This window comes from Homo sapiens, chromosome 2 (assembly GCF_000001405.40).
Source record: "Homo sapiens chromosome 2, GRCh38.p14 Primary Assembly".
Lineage (NCBI taxonomy): Eukaryota > Metazoa > Chordata > Mammalia > Primates > Hominidae > Homo > Homo sapiens.
Genome location: NC_000002.12, coordinates 143,333,762 through 143,359,715, shown reverse-complemented (window position 1 = coordinate 143,359,715; position 25,954 = coordinate 143,333,762). Strand labels below are relative to the sequence as shown.

General features: G+C 35.0%; 1 protein-coding gene across 11 annotated transcripts in view, besides 1 other annotated feature; it reads right to left on the bottom strand.

The window, feature by feature from the left end:
• Positions 1-25,954, bottom strand: part of ARHGAP15 (Rho GTPase activating protein 15) — a 638,934-nt gene that overhangs the window by 408,637 nt on the left and 204,343 nt on the right. The window lies entirely within an intron of this gene.
• Positions 11,641-13,403: an enhancer, noted in NCBI's record as "VISTA enhancer hs675". NCBI's record gives its function as "enhancer in: forebrain[10/12]" and the evidence as "EXISTENCE:transgenic organism evidence [ECO:0001131][PMID:17130149]".

Sequence of the window (25,954 nt, the reverse complement as noted above, 5' to 3'; positions counted from 1 at the left end):
CCAAATGTATTATGATAAACATTTTTGTTCTTATATCTCCTTTTATAAATACTGACCTGCACATATCTCCTATCAAGGCACATTTCTTGAATTTTTGGGTGAGGCAGAGAAAGAAGCTTCTACATTTTTCTTTATTTCTTTGCATCGATTTTGGAAGAAAACAGTATAACCAGAAAAGGACATATTGAGGGATGAAGGCACTGGCAAGAAATGAATTCTGAAGAAGAGTCACAAAGAGAAGAAATTAAGAACATTTTCCTAAGAGTGACAATATTTTTCAAAAAAAGAGGCAATAGAAAAAGGGGGAAATTATGAAAGGTGTTGATGATAGTCCTAGACTGGAGAGCTCAAGTTATTCATAAACACAAATAGGGTATTGGTAGCATTTTGTCAGCTTGAGAAATGTAGATGTTGCAAGATGGAGTAAGGAAGGTTATAAGAAATTCCCTCAAAGTCAATGAACTTCAATGAAAGTATGCCTAAGAATCATTTGCAAGAAAAAAGTATTGCCTAAGATAATGAGGACTCAAAAATTCAGTGGAGAAAACTAAGGAATTTTGTTCCTACCACTTAATAGAAAAACATTTTAAAAAATTGTGGTGTAGCACCAAACATAATCAAAAGATTTTTCTATTTCTCATATCATACTATTATGTAGATAGTACATGTTTAAATCAATCGCACCCTAATGGAATATGTTGACATTTTATACATATTTTGTTTTATATGAATTACTCCATGATTTTAATTTACTAGATATGTATGCATTTTATCAGTTGGTTTTTTTTTTTACATTAAACAGATGGTACTTACTATCCCTTTTATTATAAATGATTAGAATTTGGCTACCCACTCAATATTTTTATTTTGTCTTTCTGATTTATAATGTCTGTGTTGATGATGAACTCCATTCACACATATAAAAACATACATATACATACATAAGTATCCTATATAGAAAAATCAACTATAATCATTTAATATTTTGAAAGAAAAACTTATATAGAAGAATCTGTTAGTATAGATATGTTGCATAGCTATCTATTTCCTTATAGAAGGAAAATATTTCATCCATGCAGCATATTTATAGACATGTATGAAATATTTTCCTTCTATAAGGTCCAGGTTTGTAAAGAAAATAAGTGCCTTTTCCTAAAAAATAAATGCTTCCTCTTTTTTTTTTACTTTACATATTTTCTTTCAATCACAAAAATATATTTTATTTTAAATATATTTTTGCATAATGTCATATTAAATGTGGCTTTTAATGATTGGTTTTGGTGATTTTTGAAGATTTTTGTATTTAGATGGCATACACATTTTCAATCATGTCTTAATTACTTTTAAAAATGCTGCACTGGCTTAGGGACAAGACAGATAACTTGTTAAGCATTTGAAATTTCTGAGCTGTTTTCTCAGTTCTGGCAGTCACTACCCAAGTCCAGATTGTAACCTCCTTTCTGCCTCCAAAGCCTGCCTTGGCTCCGTGTCCAGTGAGGGATTATGGATTTAGCAAGGAAGGTAAGTGTGACTACAAGCATTGGCTCACCATCTGCTCCCCAGCAGAGCATGGGCCAACCTGCATCGCCTGCAGCAAGACCAGGGCACTGTTCTGCAGCCAGCCCTTTCCAACCTGGCTCAAGGCACACATCACATTCAGTCAGATGATTAGGTCTAAGTAGTCCATATGTAACAGAATATTTTTCCTAAATACCAAAATGAAAACAAAATGAATGCCATTTTTTTCATTCTCCTTACTCGATACATCAAGTTTTACACAAATAAATACTCTCTTAAGGTTTATGCAAATGATAGAAAAATAAAACTATGCATTATTTAGCAGTTCTCCTATTTCAAGATCTAACAGACTTTATTCACAGCATGTTTTTCCCTAGTTTATGCTGGCCTTCTTTTCTGATTCGACTTTTTAATTCATCTTTTTAAATTATTCCTTTTTAAATCATTATCTTATGTGTCTTCATAGATTTTCATGTATTAATCTATTATTAATTTTTACTATACTCAACTTAATCTTAAATTGTTTAAAGCTTTAAGAGTAAACACTTGCCTATGCTTTAAAAATAGCTTGTACTTTAACATTTTACATATTTGATCCAGTAGCCTCATTCAAACCTGTCAAATAAATTATAATTTTATTATGTGCATTTTTCTGCACAGAAGAACCAAGCATTAAAGAGGAAAGTTAACCTTTGGGTTCAGGAATCAAGAATATTTTTCAGTTCTCAAGAATTAAGATTTCTAGCCACCTACATTAGCACATTTTCTTTTTTTGTATTTATCAATAATAGCTATTATGTGTTTTTGTATTTTGCTTCAGGTCAAGTGCCTAAAAAAAAAAAGATTTCCATAAATAGCAGAAAAACATGTAGTTGAAAGTAGCTTTCTGCTTCCTTTAGCCCTGTTGCTGATTTGAGCACACAGAGTGAACATGAAAATAAGCTGAACAAACATCTCACCCTTTTTACTTAAACTGTTGTCTGCCTGACTGCAGAATGCACACAGAAAACAATCTAAAATTGTATAACCCATAATACAGTATATTAAATTACAACATTGGTCAGTAATGGAAACTTATTCCCAGATATAAATTATTTACAGCCCATTTAAGTAATCCATATTCAGGTGTGGTGATGAAAAAAAGTGCAACATAAATCTTTAATGCTGACCGGTTGAGAAAGCAGAGCTGAGGATTACAGACATTTTAAAGAAAAAAACTAAACGAATTGATATAGCCTGTTCAGTGGCTTACTGCACCAGCGTGCTAATAAATTGACGGATGGCGTGTCAGGGGTAGGAGTTGAAATCCTAGCATTTCTAACTAAGGCGGGATCTAATATCAGACTACCAAAATAAGGAGTTTCTGAACCTGGTTGTCACAGGAAACAGCCTGTGCATCTTTTTGTATATGCAAGTGTTCAAAATATCATATTTCAACATGAAAATCCATGAAGGATTTTTTTAAAATTAACTCAGTAACTGCATTAGTAATTTCAACGAGCCACATAAATTGTGTTATAAAACAGAGAGGGTATATTAAAGGTAAGCGTTTCTTTTTCTTCTTCAGGGAGTTGGGGCCAATGCTTTATTTTGGGAAATAAACTTATCAAAGAAAATCCCTTTAATCCTGTTTTACATTTCCATAGTATATAGAATAGAATTCATCAACCAACTTAAAGGGGGAAAGGAAGCAAAGACTTCTGGAGTGTTTCGCACTATTTTTAATACAAATTGTGCAAGTTGTTAGCTACTTCAGTTTGAAGTATAAAAGATCATGGTGGGGGAAGGGGGGTGGTGCCTTCATGTTGCAATTTCTTTTGTTTCCTGGAGCAGTACCTATATTAATTCATCTTACAAAGATCATTGCTCAAGAACTAAATTTTGCATATATTAGAAAGCAGAATTAGCATTGCAGTGTGTACAACATTCCACGCTAACTTCTCTCCAAGCAACCATTAAAGGTCATGTTTTGACGACTGAATGGCATGTCGGCACCTTGGTTCCCTGGAGAGGCATTCCCCAGGTACATGCAAAAGGTTATTAAATTACCTTCCGAGCAACACTATCTCTTCGGATGAAAATAATTACAGGCTTTTAGAGGCATCAGAATGCTTTCTTTCTTTCTCTCTCTCTCTCTTTTTTTTTTAATAAGATGAAGATGCAGTACCTAATGACCATTTTTGTGTGTGAGTCATATAGCCTGTCAGTGGTGACAGGACAAATGAGCGTAATGGCATAGCTTAAAGGGGAAAGGTTCATTTTAAATAGTGACAAATAATATTTAAATGGCATTGTTGGAGACCCATCATGCTTGTAAAATGTAGTTTGTATCTCTTCTTCATCCTTTAATTTCATCACTGTCAAATGGCATTAGCTGTTAACATGCAACATCAGGTGCAGATATAATTTTTAACTGTTAAATGTGCCCATAACCAAACATAATATATCTTGATTTTTCCTGATTTTTTTGGTACTATGGATAACTCATTCCATATTTCAAAAGACAAAATGTATCTAGGGATTTGATTGTAAAGACAACTTTACTAGATGGATAAAATAACAGCTTTAAAATATAATTCCTTGAATGTTATTTCTTGTCAAGGTTCAAAAATGGGGATAACTTAATTGTTAGGCTAACTGTAATTAACTGATTGGTAATATCATGGACAAGATTACTAGCTGTAGTGATTTGGTCAGAATAGTCGTGGGCAAACCAAATATAATGACCTGTATACTGTCTATACTTGGAATAAGATGGTGAACATAAAAAGGATTTTCCTTTCATGCAAATGTATAACTTCAGAACATGTAATAAGTGTAAATCACATCACCGACAAGAAACATTTTTCTATTCTTTGTCTAGTTATGGAACTTGAAAAAAGTTAACCGAAAGTCTAGGCTGTCTTTTCAGTTTTCTTGAGATAATACAGTGCCATAATAAAAATATATGGAGAATTGGTAACTGCTGATATATCCTGTGTATGGAATTGCAATTCTAATTTCAAACTTTTATATAAAGCCTTCTAATTCTTAAATATTTTTACACAGCTTCATCACATTTATTGCTAGTTTATTTTCAGATTACTTAAGCCAAAACTGGAGACAGTTTAGGTACCTTTGAGTTGTTAAAAGTTATAGCCAATTTTCTCAAAAATTATACCAGCTAAAAACACAACATTAAATATTTACCCTGTTGGATGTTAAAAAACGCTTACAATGAAAAATGTTCACATATTGACTATTCAAAATGGCCTTCACTTTGAAATTGTGAAATGGAAGGGATTGCAGATGTACAAGAATAAATATAAAAACAAATGAGTTGACTTGAAGTGTTGCCGGCTTTCATAAACATGCTACTGCAATAACATGTGACATTAATATTTAATTACAAAAGCACTGCTGCAAAATCTTTGAAATTAATGTTTTGCAAAATTAACATTCAGTGCACAGAAGCAAAGTCGTTCCAGGCGCGACTGTGATTAACAATGCCATTCACTTTACATATTATATTAATATATTATTCAAGCTACGAATTAACACCTCCTAATTTAAATAAGGTGCTACATATCATGATGAGCTAAAATGCTTTTCTTAAAATGGCCCGTCTGATTTTAAGCAATCTGTGTTTATCATTTAATATTTTGTTATTGAATACTGTTCTCCGTAAAACTCCTTCCACTTTAATTTCAAGCAGAGGAGACCTCATTAAACTGGTGCCTTCCGTTTCTAGGACTGTTAAACCATTTGAACCATGTTTTGTTTGCTAGCTAAGCCAACAGTACTGAAATACTACTGTGTGTATGAGTGTGCTCGTAGACAGCCATACTTTTAGGGCTCTTAGGGATCCTACCAAGCAATGTGCTTCTTTGCTTTCAATGAGACACTTGTTTGCACGAATGTCACCACTATCATTGTGTCACAGATTTCTACTTATTCATTCCGACTGAGGTGAACGCGGTTCCTTGGAGGGAGGAGCTGCAGTTTCAAAACTGCCTCTCATACTGAACCTCAGAGCTTACCAGTTCCCTCTGAAAGTGTGAAGAGACTTGGAGATGATGTGAATTTCTCATTCTAAACTATGAATGTGGGATAATTGTCATTCCTGTTCGGAATCCATTTATCAGGAAGGAATTCAGAGGGCCATCTCTGTTTTACTGAGGCCACCAATGCAAGGGAGAGGTTCTTGTTTGAAGAAAAAAAAAAAATACCTGAACAGGTAAAATTGCTCTGTAGACAACATCATTCTAGAGCCTTAAAATCTTGCTCCATCATGACAACTTTGGGGCAACAAACTTCAATGATAATTTGTTACCGTAGCATTTTTAATATGTTTGAACTGAAAAGACAATTATTGATGTTCTGAGAAAATATTTATAAACAAAAATCCATGCCTAAGACACTGCAGGATAATCTTGGCACATTCTAAAACAGTTTCTAAGTTATGGTTCCTTAGTTTCCCAGTCAATCAACAAATACATGGAAATTATGAAATCGGGCTGCAACCATCTCACAATTTTAGAACCCTGGAATGAGAAGAAGCTTTCATTTGTCGGTTTCAGGTTGAAGAATGATAGGCGTTATTTCTGTGTATCTCCTGTCTCATGTAATTCGGACACAGGTTCATTTATCTAACTGAATGAGTAAAAATTTTGAGATTCTAAAAAAAATTAAAAATAAAAAGATCTTTAGCAATGCAAAACCACCTTCACACCATGTATTTAACCTAACTAAAGAGTGTAGAGACCAGTGGGATATTAACCAGCAAGACATAAGTATACAGTTGCATTTTCCCACTTTGCTAAAAAAGCACCAAAACCCTTTATAGCACAAGAAGTTTCTCTTAAAGGGCTGGACTAATCTTGGTTGTCCTTACATTCAATGTCAATCTTTTATTATTTAATTTTTTTAGAGACAGGATCTCACATTGTTGTCCAGGCTGGAGTGAAGTGGTGTGATCATAGCTCAATGCAGCCTCAAACTCTTGGGCCCTACAATCCTCAGACTCAGCCTCCGGTGTAGCTGGAACTACAAACATGTGCCACCAGGCCCAGCTTGTCAATCATTTCTTGCTTATGTGCCTTCTAATTTTTTTTAAAATGTATTACACATCTATTCTTTTCCTGAAAAAAAAAGTTTCTTTAAATTGTTTATAAAGTGTTATTCTAGTTCAATGTTATATGTCATTTCAACAGTAGGAGAAACCCTAAATCAGAAAATTTCATGTACTTATTAAAGTAAAATTATAAATAATGGTTTTGATAATGATGATGCAATGGAACTTTCAAAGATTGTACACTTTTTAAGAAAGATTTATTTACAACTCAGTAACATTTTAGCTATTCAATTCGCAAAGGATGTGGAAGAAATTAGAATTTGTTAAGGTGACAGTTTATTTATGTGGAAATAATCTGCCTATGCCTTTCATGCAAAATAATTTGTAAAATGTTGGTCAATGTGAGCTGGGTTGACCATCAGCTCTGCAGTATTTAATCCAAAGATAAAAGGATATTCCATAGTTACAGAAATATTTTAAATTCTGAGTTAAGCAAAGAAATATTTTTATTCAGGACTTCTCACAGCCTTGATGTTAATTTGTATTGTGGCTCTCCAGGTAGAAAATATTATAGCACATGCAAATTCCCTCAAACTTATTTGACCATTGATAATTTTTCCATAGATCATCATGGAAAGTATGGGCCACATTTTAGAAAATACTAGTCTAAAAAAATGCTAATCAGAGTGATTGAAATGAAACCCCAAATATTTAGGTGTTTTGAAGGCAACCACATTTTAAAGATCATTATTTTATTTCAATGACTCTAGAAGGTAGAGAAAGGCAAATCTATTTTTTAAAAGTCTATTAAATGAATCTTAACATAATTTTCTGGTAGTAGCTTCTTAACAATATTTATTTATTTAGATGGCAGTAGTACATAAAGAAAGCTCTTTAAACAAATGTTTTCCAAACTATAAATTTCCCCGGAAAATATATCATAAAAAACTAAAAATCACTAAATATGTTAGGGTATTCTTTGCCAAAAGCAATGGGGGGCAGAGGGGCACATTTAAAATACTGCAATACAATGTAAATCAAACTACAAAGAATTGTAATGTTGTTCGAAAGTTGAGGACAATAAAGGTTATTCAGGGTGAAGCTTTGTCTTAATTCTTGATGAATGATGTCTGTTTCTTATGATTTAGTCCAAGATAATGGTATCTAGGAAATCCACATCTTGTAAATAAATATGTTCTATAAATAGTGAACTGATCCTTTTATTTATATTTTAGATAAGAAAAGTATAATGAGAATCTATGTTACTTCCTGGAGTAAATACCATTCTCTTTTATCAAAGAGAGAAATATCATATTCCTAATTCCATGCCATATCACAGCAAAGCTCCAGGGTACCAGAGTAGTTCATTTTCTAAATGCCAATTAGCAATTAGTTCGATCTTACTGATGTAGACACAAGATTGAAAAATGGGGAATCTTCTGACATTAATCCTCCCACCACAAGTCAGCTTAATTGCAAGCTAACATAATTACAGATGCCCAAATTCGGGCCACTACCATAGACATCGCCTATCCCGCCAGGTTAAAAAGCCATTCCTTGTAGAAGAAATGGACCCAAGAAACTGGTGACTCTGACCACCTAGGGCAAATTCTGCTCATCATGGCAAATATACTTTGTCCATTGAAGCATTTTGCTTAATGAAGGTGGAATTTGATTATAGTGTTATATCCAGAAATTCAGTAGTCTCACTCTCTCCCTCCCCTTTTCCCCCTTCTCTTCCTTTCCAGGTGAAAATCAGCTTTGAGGTCTTCAGTTATTTGCTGGACAATTCCCTGATGATATTAAAGCACCCAGTAGAAGAATGTGCCTTATCAAAAACATATATCAATCATGATGAACCTTTAAAATATATTAGTTGATTGCTTACGGCTGTTTTAGACTAAAAGACCAACACAAAATGGTAAGAATAGACTAGTAGTCCTTATACATGCTAAATAACAATCAAGAGTTCATATTAATGCACGTAACTTTTTGCAGTTATTGTCAGAAGCATACTTTGTGCATACGGCATCCATTCTTAAACTTTTGACCTTCACAGCTACAGCATGTCTATTGTCTTTACAACTCCAGTTTTCTCTCATAAAGACCTAAATGACCTTCTGGGTACTATATAAGCCCCAGACTTTGAAACTGGCTTTACTTACATACTATAATAGATATTTTAATAAAGACCAGTAAGATACATAAAGAGAACCGAGACAATTGGCTGAATATTTCCTATTTGCTCCTTGAGGCCATCTTACCACAAAATATATAATTTCTTTTTTTTTTTTTTTTTTTTTTTTGAGACTGAGTCTCGCTCTGTCATCGAGACTGGAGTGCAGTGGCGCGATCTCGGCTCACTGCACACTCCACCTCCTGGGTTCACGCCATTCTCCTGCCTCAGCCTTCTGAGTAGTTGGGACTACAGATGCCCACCACCACGCCTGGCTAATTTTTTCTTTCTTTTTTTTTTTTTTTTAATTTTTAATAGAGACGGGGTTTCACTGTGTTAGCCAGGATGGTCTCGATCTCCTGACCTCGTGATCCACCCCCCTCGGCCTCCCAAAGTGCTGGGATTACATGCGTGAGCCACCACACCCAGCCCACAAAATATATAATTTCATACATTGGAAAAATAAATGATAAAATAAAATAACTAATGGATTAGCATCCTCTAGGCAGTTTCCAACTTTTCTTTGATATGAAACTAGTTATGGTCCATTCTGAAGATACTAGCCTTACTTTTAAAAAGGCAAACAGTTTTCTTATGTTCATGAGTGTAGAGTTCTACATGAACTCTCCTAACTATTACAGATGTTGAAACTCAGGCAAATGATAAAAATCCCTGGTCATTCCAGTTAGAATACATACAGGAGGCACAAAATGCAGTATCAGTGAATCAAAGATATGCTTTTTAAAAAATATGCTGAAAATTAAACTAATTATAAACATGAATAGATATTGACTTAAAGTAGTTTTCACTGAGGGAAGATAGTCCAAAAATCTGTTTTGTGATGGTAAAATATATTTTTATATACTCTCTCCATTTTTAGGGTATAAACAAAAATTAAGAAAATAAAAATAAAACTACGATAATATTATTGCAAGGAGATATTTTATAATAAGTGCTTATTTTAATGTGTTGTCAAAAAGGCCTATTATATTTCAACTAACTGCCACTAAGTTTAAATTGAAATGGTGGACTCAAACCATTCTTCTTCTACAGATCTTAATATCTTATCATCCATATGCATATCCTTCCAAGAAACAAGAGAGTAAGGTAGCATAAATATATTATAGCAGAGAAATTGAGGCCTAGAAAGGTAATGCACTTGCTCAACCATACATAGAAATTAGCTTAGCTGAGGCTAAAATTCACATTGCTAGATTTCAGATTTATTCATTGCTTTACACTCGGACTCTGGAGTTTGTTGTGAAACACAGGAAAAGCTACAATCCCTGCACATAGGTTAACAATGTCATCATACTAATACAAAAGATATTTATTATACATTAAGAGATTTACATGAAAGTCTAGTTATGTAGGTAAATACAAATATCAAAAAATAGAATGCATTAATTGGCTTCAGCAGAGATATCTTCACATGCAAAGTGACCCTCACTCAATTTCAACATAAGAAACTGAATTATTTTAGAAAATTACAAGCTAAATGACTGCATTACTTTCCATCTTTAAGAATGAAGGTGAATTAATATATGCCATGGATAGGCACTCATCCTAAGGAACTGATCAGAATTACTGCCACTGAGGAAAAGACAGGAACTGAAGACTTCTTGGAGACAGTGGTAGGCTCCCATGCCTGTTAAATAGACTTTGATGAATTGATCTTTTTTCAACAATAGTTGATGTTTTCAGCAGTCCCTTTTATCCTCTCACTCAAATCGATCTAAATTTCCAAGTTCAGAATGAACATTTTTATTGGCTAGCTTTCCTAAGTGTTGACTAGATGAACAAATAAAAATGCAATCTTCAAGTTTCTTCTGAACAACTTCCAACAATGTCAATAAAAGAAACTTTGGAGGGTCTAAATAACTTGATAATCTTAAGAGTCCTTTGACATGTTATATTTGTATGTGTTGTTCAGGATGTTAGGAGTTATTTCATTCCTTCCAGTACCCACATTTCTCTTATCGAACAGTTACAGATTTTTAAAAATCTACTCCACATAAACATCATAATCAGGAGGCGATTCATAGAGAATGGAACACCTTCTGACTTAATTTACTTTTCCCATTTCCTTATTTGGAAGATTGGAGGTAAATCTCCATATAAAAAGGATCTGGCATTTTCAGCATTTTCTAGAAGATCAGTATTGAAATGACAGGTAGTGGAGGCATGGGAAAAACTATCACCATTGAAATTTTATAATGATTATTTAAAATCACAAATAATTCAGACTATCCTTAGGTGTAAGATGGAATGAGAATAGTCGCACATGTAAACGTGTACCTCTAGTTTGCTGCTCACACCTACAGACCAACATACATGGACACCTTTACCACTTTTAGCAACGTGAATGACTTCATAAGCATTAATTGAGATGAAGCTGACACTTCAGAAAGCACTCTAACCTCTAATTATGGTTGTAATGAAGCACCAGTTTAACACTGTTTGGTTTTATTCTTCATTAACAATTGAAAATAACAGTTTTTTTTTAATCCTGAAAATAGGCAAGTGCAATTTTTCAGTACTGGAAATTTAAGAAAGAGTTAAAATATCATAAAGAATGACAAAGGCACTTTCGAAAAAAATAGTGTGGCTATCAGAGTAGAACATTATTTCAGAGAAATAGCGCACATTTGATGACTGTCAGAATTTACATAACTTACTCTGCATGAATTAACTATGAGGCATAAAATTCAACTTTGGCTTAAACACACACGCAGTAATTGTCATGTGACATTTTGAGGCATTGTGAGTATGACATCAAGGTATTGCCTAAATCACCAACACAAATATGACAAAAATGACTGTGACATATGACCTTAGTGCCCCAATAGGTTACTGGGGAAAAAATATGATCATGTCAGCAAAAGAGCTGGAACAAAAATGGGTCCATATCTGACAGTATGTTTAGGACATTCTAGTTGAAATGGATACTTTGTCAATTGAGTGTCCATGATCATCACTCTGATTTATTAGGGTAACAAACTGGGCTCACACAAAATAACTTACAGATATCAAAATCTCTCAAAATTATGAACCGTGAGGAAAATCAAATTCTAATATTTAACATCTGTCTTAGGATTCTTACCATTTATCTTCTGATCAAAATTTCAAATGGTGCCAAAAAAAAAAAAAAAAATCACGAAGTCAAAAGGACTTGGTGGGGGTATCTTTGTTTCTCTCCCAAAGCCTAAAAGTTATACTCAACTGCAGCACAAAGAGTAAAGAGGTTGTTATTCATATTAACTACATTTACATTCCTAACGCAACATCCAGAGAGCTAATAGTGGGGTTATTAACATAACAAACGTAAATGTTCTATATAAATAATACTGTTTCAGGCCAGCAACCGCTCATCTGACAGCATTTAGGCACAGGCTCAACATCTGTTTATGAACACTTTGCCTAATGATATCATCAGATATCATTAAGTGCGGCAGAATACAGCATAGAGGCAGGTGCAGCTGCCTTCACAACCCATCACAGAGAAAGAAAAGAGCTGCATTCCCCATCCGAAAACCCATCATTAGGACAATTTTCTTCGACAAACCAGCCCTGTGATTTCAATCTGTATATCACCTGTAATTGTAGTTTTTAGCAAGAAGCTGATTCTATACATTTAGCGACGAATCACGTTGATGGCCTGAATACTGGAAACACATTTGTGGTACCAGCTGCGGCAGCTTTTTTTAGAGCCTGTGTTAACAAAATACTGCTAACAAGGCAATGCTGGGAGTGCAGCTTTGTTTCTCTTTCTTGTTCATAGTGTTTAGATGTGCATAATTATGGAAATTAGCAATTGATTGCTTCTCAATAATAATTGATTACTGGTCACTGAACTCTTCTGTAGCACTTTACCGAAGGTGAGGACATGAGATAAGTGAATTCTTACCAGTTCCAACCATATAGAAAGAAAGAGACCAAAAAGACCTCTCGATTTGTACATCAGTTTCCATGATAAACAGACCAAAGGGATAATAGAATATCCCAGAATCTAGTTTGCCCTGAAGCAAATTGTAGAGATCATAGCAAGCCTGCAGAATTCTCCCTGTGGACCATGTAAGAAACATACATCATTTTTATATGTGTCAGTTGGTCTTTGATTTGAAAATATTTCTACCCATTTAATTTATCTCTTTCAGTCAGTTTTCTTAAATTGTACAATTTAAGGGTTATATCAAAAAAATGAATACCAATTTTCAACACCTCTCAAATTGAAACAAACTGACAAAATAATGTGAAGTCTCTTTTTGCAAAGAGGTACAAATTCAGAAGCCTATCGTCTCAGACAGATAGCGAGCACTTCAAAATGATTCTCCTCTTTTTGATCTGCTGTATATCCATCAACATTTTGGTCGGTGCCGACTGACTTGTTTCAGTATAGCATAATGTAGGGAATGTTACTTGATGCTGCAGCTAACATTTAAAGGAAAATGCACTTATTTTTGGCTTAATCACTACTGTCAATTTGGACATAACATATCCAATTCAAAATTACTGCAGTACATGGAAGCCTCACAGACAATAAAGAATCCGTGGTGTTTGTGAAATGGGAAACACCGTGACTCATGGTGTTTCAAAGATGGAAAGACCAGTAGGGAAAAAATTAACTCTTTATTTTGGAAGAATAATGAGCTTCCGAGTGTTCAATGTAATCCTCTCCCTGGTGTGTTTGTGAGTGTGTGTGTGTGTGTGTGTGTGTGAGTGTGTGTGTGTGAGAGAGAGTGTGTGTGAGAGAGAGTGTGTGTGTGAGAGAGAGAGTGTGTGTGTGAGAGAGAGAGTGTGTGTGTGTGTGTGTGCTCATTTGTACAGGACATGACTGTATCGTGGCAGTCAACTTTACAACCTGATTCATAAAAAATGCAGCTTGGTTAAAGTTAGTATGCTCAATTTCAATAGTGTTTTTATCCCAAAATGGGTAGCAGATTGTACAATCATGACTCAAAAAAATATGCACAAGTTATAAGAATTAGGCAACAGTTTGAGAATAAAACTGAATCCCTCCTCTCTGCCCACAGAAGGATTTCTCATATAATGAACAGGTGCAATTTCCAGAGATCTCCGTTCACTGAGATGGCAAAAGCCACTGTTTGTTGCTTTCCCCAGCAGCAACACAAGATAATATGGTGATAAAACTGCAATCAGAAACTAAAAAGCCACATCACATATATGTACAATTCTATTCTCTTAGTATACACCTTGCAAACACAAATTCATATGCCTAGCATTCTAGCTCTTTCTTAAAATGTATGCACTGAATAACAATTATAAATTTTTGCACTACTCTGTACCCAAAGCCTGCAAAAAAATGAAAGAAACTGAATTTAGGCAATGTGTGTGAGTCCATGTGCTTACACCATTATGTTAGTGCCAAAAGCGTTAAAAAAAAATACAGACAGATTCCCTGTAATTTATCTCTGAGTTTATTATCAGCATGACATTTTAATGTGTGTTATTAAAATTATATTTTAGGGGTTGGGGTGGGGTTCAGGTGGAAGAGTACTTTGGAATATTGCAAGAAGTTGCACATAAAAATGATTTTGGTAACCTAGTGATGTCCTTGACACACTTTGGCACTACACAGTGTATCTGCTTAAAGAGACATATGGCTGGAATGGCAGAAGTCAGAATTTGAAGGGTATTAGTAAAACCATGTGGGGGAAGCTTGAACTGATACTGGCTTAGGCTAATTGTAGCTCTTTGATTTCATATGCTCCAAACCCATAAAATAATTTTAACTACTGAAACCATAATTTCCATTTTTTGAGATAGTTTTAAATCACATTACTAGGAAATGAAATTGAAAATAAATCCACTTGCTAATAATAATGCTGGGTGACTTTAAAATGCTAACAGTATAAAGTTAAAAAATGTGGTAAATGATCAACCCTAACCTCTGAACTGCTGGTGTGATTTGTTGATGTTATTGTTGAATCACACCTTGTTGAAGTAAGAGAGGCCTTCTGAGAAAATCAGAGATCAACTTCAAGTCTTGTGTTCTCAGCAATGATTTTCCGACCGCTTAAGAGCCCTGCAGAGCAGCCCTGCAGCCTTCCTCATTAGTTATATTTTCAGCAAAGCCCTTTTGACTATGTGATATTCCTTGTAGTTTACTTGTTTATTTGTTTATTGCCTTTCTCCTCTTTTTACTGAAGTGTAAGTGCTGTCACAGAAGGGATCTTGCTGGTCTTCACTCCTCTCTGCCTGACATCTATAAGACACCCAGTAAAAAATGTGCAAAATGAATAAATGTGATACAGTGTTCTTTTCAAGCCATGGTCTGCATAATATTCTCAACTTTTCCACGGAATGGTCAGAATTTACTAACCTAGTATAAATTTGTAAATAATTTATGCCGAAGTTTTCACAAAATATCATTTCATTAATGACAAATGAATTCTTTTTTCACATGGTGCCAAAGCTGATTTATATAATCTGGCCAGAGAGAGGTTTTATTTAATTGAAGAAAATTAGCTCAGTACTTCCTTAATACACACTCTACTATACTGCTACCTAAACTTTTACTTGAGTAAATAATTACATAACTAAAGGCTTAGGTCAAAAGCATTGTTAAAATTAAGCCAATTCTTACATCTTAAAAAACTTGTTGATATTTACATACAAATAGCAGTTTAGAGACAATCTATACTTAATTTCTGCTCTTGATAAATGCATTAGTTATATCAGGCTTTGAAAGAAAGAATACCAAATTGCCTATACTACTTTTCTACTCAGGGTTAAAGACGCTAACCACTTTCAAACAACCATCTGAGAAAACTAATTCCCAACGTATTGGAGTAGATGAGAGAATAAAAGGTGTGTTATTGAAAGGGAATTTGGAACAAGTAATCGTTCTGAATGTGTGTACATCAGAGACTCCTCAAAGCCTGCCTGGCAATCTGTTTTTTATGTAAGTTTGTTTTTATCTGTGGTGGGGAGTGCTGATATTTAAATTTGCATTAACTACTTTCCATAATGAATAAGAAGTACATAGCTAAACCTGATTTGTAGCAAATCAATTTTGGCAGACAGCAAAAGTCAAAAATTGTTTTTGTTTTTAAAGTAGAAAGCTTCTGTTTAAGACAGTTAAAGATTTTCAGAGAAAAGAGATTATTAATAGGAGTAACCTAGATTAGTGTAATGGTAGGAATAGTTGCAGAAATAGTAAGAGGCTTAGAGAAAGCTCCCCAATTTTAATGCCCTGAAAAATTGGGTGCAATCTTGTCTTCCTCACTAGAGCTGCTCCATCACTCAGTTATTTATTTTCTCAATCTGTCAATATTTATAGTAAAGCTTGAAGAATCACCAAATTGTAAGGTCTAAAGTAACGTTGAGAAATCATTCATTAACGCAACAAATATCGAGTTTCTATCCATCCCCCCACACTGCCAACACAGTGATCTTTCAAGGGCAAATCTGATCTTTCCACTGCCCTGCAGAAAGCCCTTCAAAGATTTCTCATTGCTGTAAGCCTGAAATTTAAACTTCTAACAAAGATATAAAACATTCTTAGTCCAATCTCTACCTGTTTTCTGATCCTTTCAGTAACTTTTTTCTCTGACCCTTTCTGACCACCCCACCCCCTGCCAAATTCCCTTGACACCTGTTGCCTTTATTCTCTATCCCAGAACTGACTGCCGTTTTTCAACATGCGTCCTCATGCTCTGTAGATGCTCTTCTCTCTTCCTGAATTAGCCTCTCTCCATGCTCCCTTGTCCACATGGTGAGCTCCTACTTATCCATGAAAACTCAGATTAAATATGATTTTCCTGTAAAAACTTTAACCAGTGCGGGGTTTATCATTCGTGCTATCACATCATCATAAAAATCTACCCTACTACTAATTATACTGTCTTCATCACTCTCTAAATACTTATGAAGCTTGTTGTAGGTTGTAGGAACTGAGAACATATCACTGAACAAAAATAGATAAAATTTTCTAATCTCATGAAATTTTATTCTCAACTTGCAAAATAATACAACAAAAAATACTAATTTACACACACACACATATATGCGGTTAGGTAGTGTTAAGTTCTTACAAAAAAAGATTAAAACAAGGAAGGAAAGTGTGTGGTATTGGAAGAGGTGATTAATATTGTCAATATTATTGTTAGGGAACAGCTCACTAAGGAGAGAGATTTTAAGAAAAGGTATCTAGTGATCATATATTCACAATGGGTCTTATATGTATGATGGGACTCATGCTATGAAGCTGTTATACAATTTTGCCTCATCCAGAACCCAGCATAGTTTCTGACACACAGACTTAACAAAGAAATAATTCTACACAAACTTAAAGGTTGTCAGAGCAACAGGTGGGATGTTATAATTTATTTTAGCCTTTTGGAACTTCAGTGCTAGACATAAGACCCTGTGTAAAGCTTACAGCCTTTAAAATGCAATTACTTATACAATAACACTGAAGAATCATGTGTCTGGATGAATACCCTATAAGTAGCCAAATTACTCTATCGCCATACAGGAGAGAATGATCATGGCATATTCACATTAAAAATCCCTTTATTAAGGCTTTATTAATAGCACAAAAAGTAAATCATCTTTCCTATTCGAGACACTTCTTTTTCTTATGAAATATTATACTGCTAGATGAGTATTTTTTCCCTCTAAAGACTGGTCTGTCCTACATTTCTAGACATATAAACTTCCCTTATGAGTGTTCTTTCTTTTTGAGAAAACACTAGCAATACCCATGATTCCCATGAAAAGCCCAGATAGTATCTGTTGATGCTTAGGATATAGCTTTCAACTTTTATGAATCTCCAAATCATCATAATTTTCTATCATGTCGTTATGTACAATGGGTAAAATTCTGCTCAATAGACATTTAGCTCACAATAAGTCTTGTGGTATTTGAAAACAAATATGGAGTTGTCTCCAATTCTACCATTAATGCATGGGCATTGTGAAGAATATTGGATAAGCTAAATACAAAATAGGGTTTATATGTATTTTTAATGATTAAAACTATTTCTTAAGTTTGAAACTATATAACTTTTTATATCATCTAACTGAAAGCAAGTTATATTTTGAAACATTTAAGCAGCAGAATTGCTGAGAGTTAAGAATAATCAGTATTTTGTGAAATTCTACATTTTGCATAATTTTAATAATAGTTCTGTGACTGATCAGGGCAATGTGGGTCTACTAACTTTATTAAATAAGCAGAAAGGGAAACCAATATGTACTATGTCTTTGGTTGGAAATCATTGGGAGACATTCTATATGTTGTAATTTAGCATTAATGCAGAGTAAGCAAGAAATTTTAGGAACTTACATGAGTAGGGGAAAAAAATGGTTTGGCGAGATGAAATTTGGTGTAGAATTCCTTGTTCTGTTGCTTTCAAATGCACATGTGACTTTAGACTAAGCATAACCAAAACCGAAAAGGAAAGAAGAGGACATGGGGAATCTGAAGCTGGGACAAACAGATTGTATATTATTTTAAATTAACTTCAGAAAATGCATTGGGAGTGGATTTAAAGGTGTTATTCGTCCTAGAGGAAACCTCACACATTGCCAGAAACTTCTGAGGAATCTGTTAGCTTCACCTATAAAGTTGTTATATCAGTGAAATCCTAATATTTTCACAACAGCAGTGGATAATGTGAAAGATCTCAATTCAAATATGACAGTGTCTTAAAGAGTGATTTGATGAGTAGGCTATGGTTCAGGGGCTATTCTAAGATAATGAATACGAAAGAAAAAGGGGATGTGGTTCATCCCCTCAATGAAATTCCAAAAGAAGGGATGCCGGAGAGGTAGATAAATGCCATATCTAATGGATGATGTGACAGGACCACAAAAGCAGGACCCGCTGGCTTCTATGTGTTCACAGAGAAGAGAGGAAGGGACTTCTCTGCATGTTTTTAGAGAACAAATCATCAATGGACAAAACTAAGTCAAATGAATGAATAAATACTCCCAAAACGGTAAAAACAAAAAGCTACCTGTCTTACGTTGGCCAAATGATAGTGAACATTTCAGTATTCTGATTTATTAGATCAACTTCTATTTTTTCCAAGTATAGTTTTCCACTTAGCCGTTTTTAATTTAGCATTGCCAAGTCAAAGGTCAGAAAAACAGAAAAAGAAAAATATTTTTTCAGTAAGCGTACTTTTCCATTGTGTGCCACCAACCTTTCCACTAGTGCTAGGGTTTCATCATATGAACAGAGGAGCAAATCTTGCCACCAAAGTTGCCTTCTTTCAGAAAAGTGAGCCTATTGGTGGCCTTTGTTATGAGAATCAGCATTCCGGCAATCTCTGCTCTTAATGACACCCTGAGTTTTCCAATTTAGAAGTTGCCAGATTTGTGGTTTATGAACAGCTTGAACAAAGGTGCTTGCACACTGCTTGCCCATAAAAAGTAATTGTTTTCTTTTAAAATTTATTAAAAAAAAAAAGAGAAAAAATCTGCCATTAAAAATTTAGGATAAAATCAGCTATAATAGACAGCAAATGAAAATTACATCACTAAGACAGAGAAAACCTTCAAAATCTTTCCCCAGCTCTGTCTCAATATCTTACACAGTGGAGCACATGTTAAAATTACCTTGTTCATTCCGTCAAAATTTCTCAACACTATCCCATAAAACAGCACCCACAGGCCTTTTTTTCTTCCAGTCTCTTTCCTCTTGCTTTGCCTGGTTTATTACTGGTCACTTTCACCCTGAAAAGTTTCCAACCTGTCTTGGTTCTCTTTGGTTCTGCAGCTTAAACCGTTATTCCAATAAGTAAAATAAAAGTATAGAAAGCCTAGACTGGCAGGTATCTGCCCAAACGACAAAATGTCCCTCTCTTAAATGAAATAGTCCTATTTTTTTGTCTTTTTCATATACGTATTGCTTCTGTATATATGAGCAGTATGTTTTAAACATACTGATTGTAGTTTTCAAAGAGAAAGAAAGAACACTAATGTTGGGTTATGTGAGTCTGAGACGTTTAGAAATCAAGAAGGAATAAAATGACTGGTTTGTTGAAAGAAGGTCCTTATTGATTTATGGGCCATCTACAAAGTTGTATGAGAACACCCAAAATATTCTTCAGAGAGTTTCACATAGTAAGTGAGACACAGGATTAGCTTCAATACTATAAATACAAATTACAGTGATGATGCTGAATAGCTGGCTACATTTTAAAGTATAGTGTGCTATTTTATGTGAACACACATAAAGTATAACTTGAGAATCTTAGTCATAGATTGTCAGTAGACAAAACCATAGGCACCGTGGAGAAGCAAGATGGAATCTAGGATAATTTTAATAAAATGGACAGAGGTCTGGGTTTCACATTTGATGACATGGGAGAAATAGGTAGGAACTGACTTCTTTTGGTGGCCTCGCTGCCAATAGAGTAATTCCAGACTCCTTTCCAGGCACCCAAGATTGTCTGGAATATAACATAATCTGTCTTCATAGTCACAGCATCTCTTTTTGTAGGTTTGCTTGATGTTTCTGATGAGAAGTATTACCCACTCTTCCTATAATTCATCTTTGCTATCCCATTATAATTCATTGCTGTATCCTGTATCTGACTATCAAAAGTTTGTGAATCTGACCCTATTTGTGAATAATATCTGGCTCAGTGTGTTACCTAGTCTTTCCTTTTAGAGATAAGAAATTGAGTACTCAGGAGTAGAGAAAAGAGACTTGCCCAAAGGCTCCAACCTGGGAGGTCTGTGCCTGCCACCAAGGTCACACATCCTAGTTCAGTCATCTTTTTCACTACCCAACACTCCGCTACAGTCAACAACCACAGCAACAAAAACAACAGGCCCTTTCCTGCTCTTTAATTAAATATTAGAAGTTGGCATGACATTTAAGGGGCATATCCTTTAGAATCAAGTCTGACATATAATGGGCATTCAATCAATATTTATGAAAAAAAATGGATAGCTATCCCCAACAAAGAACACATTACCTCATACTTATTGCTTGTTATGGCATTCTTTCTTGGTTTTCTATTATCTAGAATGACATAGTGGAAAGAACTTGAATTTTGGAACCCAGAATTTTTATCAACACAGTGAGGGAGGTACTATTAGTTCTAATTTTATAAACAAATTGAAATTTAGAAAGGTTGAATAGCTTGTAAAGGGTAAGCAACCTATCAAGGAACTGAAGAAGAATTTGAACCAGGCAGTCTGACTCCAGGGCATTGGTGCACAGGTTTTGTGATCTTTCTTTTCCCTGATAGACATCTGGGTCAAAAGTCATGCCTTACAGTGAAGTTTTGGTTTGGTTGATTTTACCTTAAAGAGTTTGCAAGAAAAAGCTACTTAAATGGAAATATATAAAGTCATTATTCTGACAGTCTCTCTACTCTTATTATTTAACAATTTGATACTAAATTAGCTGTACAATGCCTTCTTTTCATCTCCTACTTCCCATCGAGTAATCAAATAGAGGATCCTGATTCTATTTGTTGGAGAGATTGTGGATGCCTTTCACACATTGTATTTTAATGTCACATAGGCTTGCACTAACAAATTCTAGTCTCTGAGATAAATAGTTTTGCTCCTTGACAATAATTTTCCTTACAATACAAAGAACCATTGAATCTGATCCACGTGAGTTGAAGGTACTAGTCTTTTTCTTCTTCTGTCCACATGTTAGAAATTTGTTAGCTACCATGAAATATACAGCTCTATGTTTATTTCTATTTACTTTCAAGGCAGGTTACTACAGTACTTAATCACTCTGCTCTTGATTGGACTTCTTGGGTTAAACCTCTACTCAGCCACTTACTCACTGGTATACTCCTAAGTAAGTTATCTCTTCTAAAGGCTCTCAAAGAATAATAATAGCACTCCTACTTCATGGAAGTAATTGTAAGGGGAAAATGAGATAGAACATATAAGAGTTAGATTAATGCTCACCATATCTTAAGGGCTCAGTAAGTGTTTATTATTGTTACTAGACACATTAAAGGTACATTTGAGAACTAGAAGTGAAAGGGAGGAGTAATGCCTTCAAAAATTTACATTTTAAGATGTCTAACAGTACTATATCAAGAAGAAAACCTTGGGGATTTAAAAGTCAGAGAATTACTAAATAATTTCCAGCTGAGCAATTAATTTAATGCTGTGTTCTCCCCTTCAATTTAATTATCATAGGCCAATGGCATTCTACCTTCCAGTGTTTTGGTAGGATTTTGCTATCGAATAAGCAGCACACCTTCCACTTTTTTTTTATGTTTGATATTTTGCCAGTCATTGCTGAATTTAGTTGACCTGGAGTTATTCTGAAAATAAATACTGTGATCCCAAAAGTACGAAAACCTAAAAGAGAACTCCAGAAGGTGTTAAATTCCTAAAAATCCCTGAAAAGAAGGTATTGTACAGCTAATTTCATATCAAAATTGGTAACAGTAGAGAGACCTTCAGAGTAATGACTTTATATGTTTCCATTTAAGTAGCTCTTTCCTGAATGTAATGCAGAAACCTAGGTAGGCAAAATCCCTGAATCCAGAACGTAATGCAAAATTTGACATATTTGTCATATACAGCCTATAGAAACAATACCACATGCCAAAAAAACAACATCATGCTGCACTGCCTTGAGTCATTTCATGGCTTCCCATTGAACTTCAAATAAATATGAAATCTTTAACTCAGCCATCAAAACTGCAATCTGGCCCCTTCCTCCCACCTCCCTAGCCTCCTATCTTCTGCTACCTTCTTCTGCTCTTTCTCTCCAGCTAGACCAGCAAGTTGGGAAGTCCTCAAATGGACCATCTTCACAGCACTTTTGCACACTCTCTTCACTCAGTCTGGAGTTCACTTTCAACCCCTTACCTCCCCACCTATCCAAGCTCCACCTTCTGCCCTTTCCACCTCACCGAAAACTCCCTCCCTCTGTCCTCCTTGACCAGATTACCTGCATGTCTTGGAGGTTTCTCTCCCACCCCCTTCCACCTCCTGAAACACTGCACATTGGCAGCTTCATACCTATCTAGGGCCCTCTTCCTTACAGCCTGTAAACTCCTTGGTGATAGGAATCTTATCCATGATCACCACTGTTTTCCCAGTCTCCAGCCTAGGGCCTGGCACAAAGCATGCTCTCAATAAATATTATAGAGTAAATAAATAAAACTGAAATGTGACAATAATTCAAAAAGAAAGCAGAAAGTCTTCTTCAAACACAAAATAGTCCAGTTAGCATGTCTGACTAAATATATGACTTCTCACTATTAAGAATGATTTTCATACTCTGCCTCCTCTCCTAGGGCATACCTGGGCCTGGGAAAGAAGGGAGCTAAGTGGAAAGAGAACTACAGGGTAGTTCCCTGGGGCCTTTCATACCCACATCATCACCAATTAAACACAGCCATGCCTGCTTTATCACTGCACTTTTTTTTAAACTGCAGAATCCATGGGCAAAGGATTCCAAGGCTAAAAATAATTTGAAAATCAGTTATTAGAATAAAACCATCTAATAATTATTTTGTCTTTCAATGTCATAGTGAGGATGAACTGCCCTCCGTCAATTTTGCTAGTTGACATAATTTTTCAACTCCCCAAACTATTTCTAAACTGGTCATGTTCTTATACATTCAAGCACATCAGAAAACACAGATTTCAGTATTCATCTCTGGCTGTTTCTCTATCACTCATCTGCCTCTCCCCTTATAGAGGTATGCCCTTCAGTGGTTTCCTCTATTGCCCAGGGAAAAACATCCAAGTTTGTGGCATAACATTTACAAGCTGGAGGCTGGGCAACATGGCGAAATCTTGTCTCTACAAAAAATACAAAAATTAGCCAGGTGTGGCGGTGTGCTGCTGTGCTCCTGTAGTCTCAGCTACTTGGGATACTGAGGCAGGAGGATCGCTTGAGCCTGGGAGGTCGAGGCTGCCGTGAGCATTGATCACACCACTGCAGTCTAGCCTGGGTGACATGGTGAGAACCGTGTCTCAAAAAAAATAAACTACAAAATAATAATAATAAATAAAAACTATCATCATTTTCATTTACTATTCCAGCTTCCTTCCTCTCCCCTGGAGCTTTCTATTGGAATCATGAAACATACCATGATTTTCTCCACACCTGTGCCTGTCTTCTTGGAGTGCATTTCCTCTGCCTGAATAATCCCTTCAAGTCCTTCATGAACCACCTCAAATGTGAACATTGGCTTTTCCCAGTCTGGGTAATTTACTCAGACTCCTACCACATGCACCTATGGGACTCTACGGTTTCATCTGACAGCTTAAAACACTGAGAGACTTGCTTTTTTGTCTGTCTTTTCTGCCTAGGTAGTTATATCCCTAAACACAGATTCAGCTTCATGCCCTTCCTTCCTGGGTTATTGCTTGGCATAAGTATATACTGAATGAATAGAAGAGTTCCAATAAGTTTTAACATTTCCTTGGCATTTAAACATTTAATATTTATAATTTCACCTCCTTATGAAATTCCCCAAAGCGTGTGCCATACAGAAATTTGCAGAATCCCAAACAAAACTATGCAAGAAGGGGGACTACTACCCACAGACACCCTTTAGCTGATTAGTCTAATCAGCCGCTCTGACTCAGCATCTAAAACGGTTTTCACATTTTTACTTAAAACAGTATTGTATCACTATAATAATTTAAGAGGATTTTCCATTATTGTGAAATATACTGGGAATTATAAGGACATTTTTAATTTAGAAAGTTGAAGGAGGAAAGTGATTTTCTCACTGCACAGCTAATCAGAGTTGGTGCTGGCTATAGGTCAAGATCAGTATTTCTCAAAGTATGTTCCAGGACTCACTGGTCCCTTGGGATTCTCAATAAAAGTGTCCATGATCAGATATGTTTGGGAACACTGAATTCCAGGTCCTTAACATATTAAATGCCCTGAGAAATTCTCCAGTCAAGACATCTATTTATCTTTGTTATGCTCAACATTTCCCAAATTCCTTTGATCGTGAGTTTGATGACATTATAAAAACTCACTATGGAAAAAGCTAGTCTTGGTCACCACATTCTCATCCCAGTGTTTGCCTTTTACTTACAGTAGTATGTGCATAGCAAAGTCGAGATCTGAAGCAATTATTTGATCTCGAACTCCCGACCTCAGATGATCCAACCACCTTGGCCTCCCATAGTGCTGGGTCACAGGCATGAGCCACCACGCCTGGCTGTTGAAGCAGTTATTTGGGATACATTTAGTTACCAATTTTATTTTGAAGGGCATATATAAATATGAACAAATATTTTAGATGCTTCTTTGCTTATTCTTTAGTATGAAATATTTGAGTGCTTGATTTTCTTCTTTATGGTGATTAGGCATAAAATAAACAACCTCTTTGGAATATGCTACATAACAGGAAAAAAATCACATTGATTATTTTTCACTGCAGTTTCCTCCCACACTATTATTAAAGTTTTGCAATCATGCTTTACATCTTATCACCATTGGCACACCGCAGCAGCAGGTTATAGTATTTTAATGGCATGAATCTGAAATTTAGATGAAATTTAACTTTAAAATAGAAAAAAATGGACACATATGTGTGTGCAACAGTTGGCATCTAACAATGGATACCTTTGTGAGTCATGTAAGATTAAGTCTAGAAAAAAATAAGGTATATCATAGCTATTCTCTTTTTGAACACTCCATGTTGAGAAAAAAGGTATTTTCTATAAGTATTGGTGCTTCTTATTTAGACTGCAAAACAAATTAGAACCAAACAAAAAAAAGTACTCTTATTTTTACCAGCTTAAGAAAAATTAGAGAGATCTGTGATTGTTGGTTTTCTAATAAATATAACTATATTTTCTAGATTAATTCAGTTCCTACCATTTCAGTATGGTCTATACTGCAAATGTACAAGGGGAAGCTTCAACTAGGATCCTGCTTGATAAGTAGTGTAAGATGGAAGTATCTGAACACTTAGGGTGTCACCTTAAAACAAATTGTCACACATTTTTCTTCACACATTTGAAACCCAACTTATCAACCTTAACAAGTGTTGTTATCAAAAGAATTTTGGTGCCTTTGTTCTTTCCCTCTTGCAAGTAAATTACACTTTTAGGATTTTATTAAGACAAGAAACAATTTTTGAATAGCAGGTCAAAACTCTCCACGGAAAAATTCTCATTACTTTCTAGCCTGAAGCAATGTTTACCACCCAATGTATCCATCTTTTTCCTGTTTCTTCTATATCTATATTTCCCGAATCTTGTTT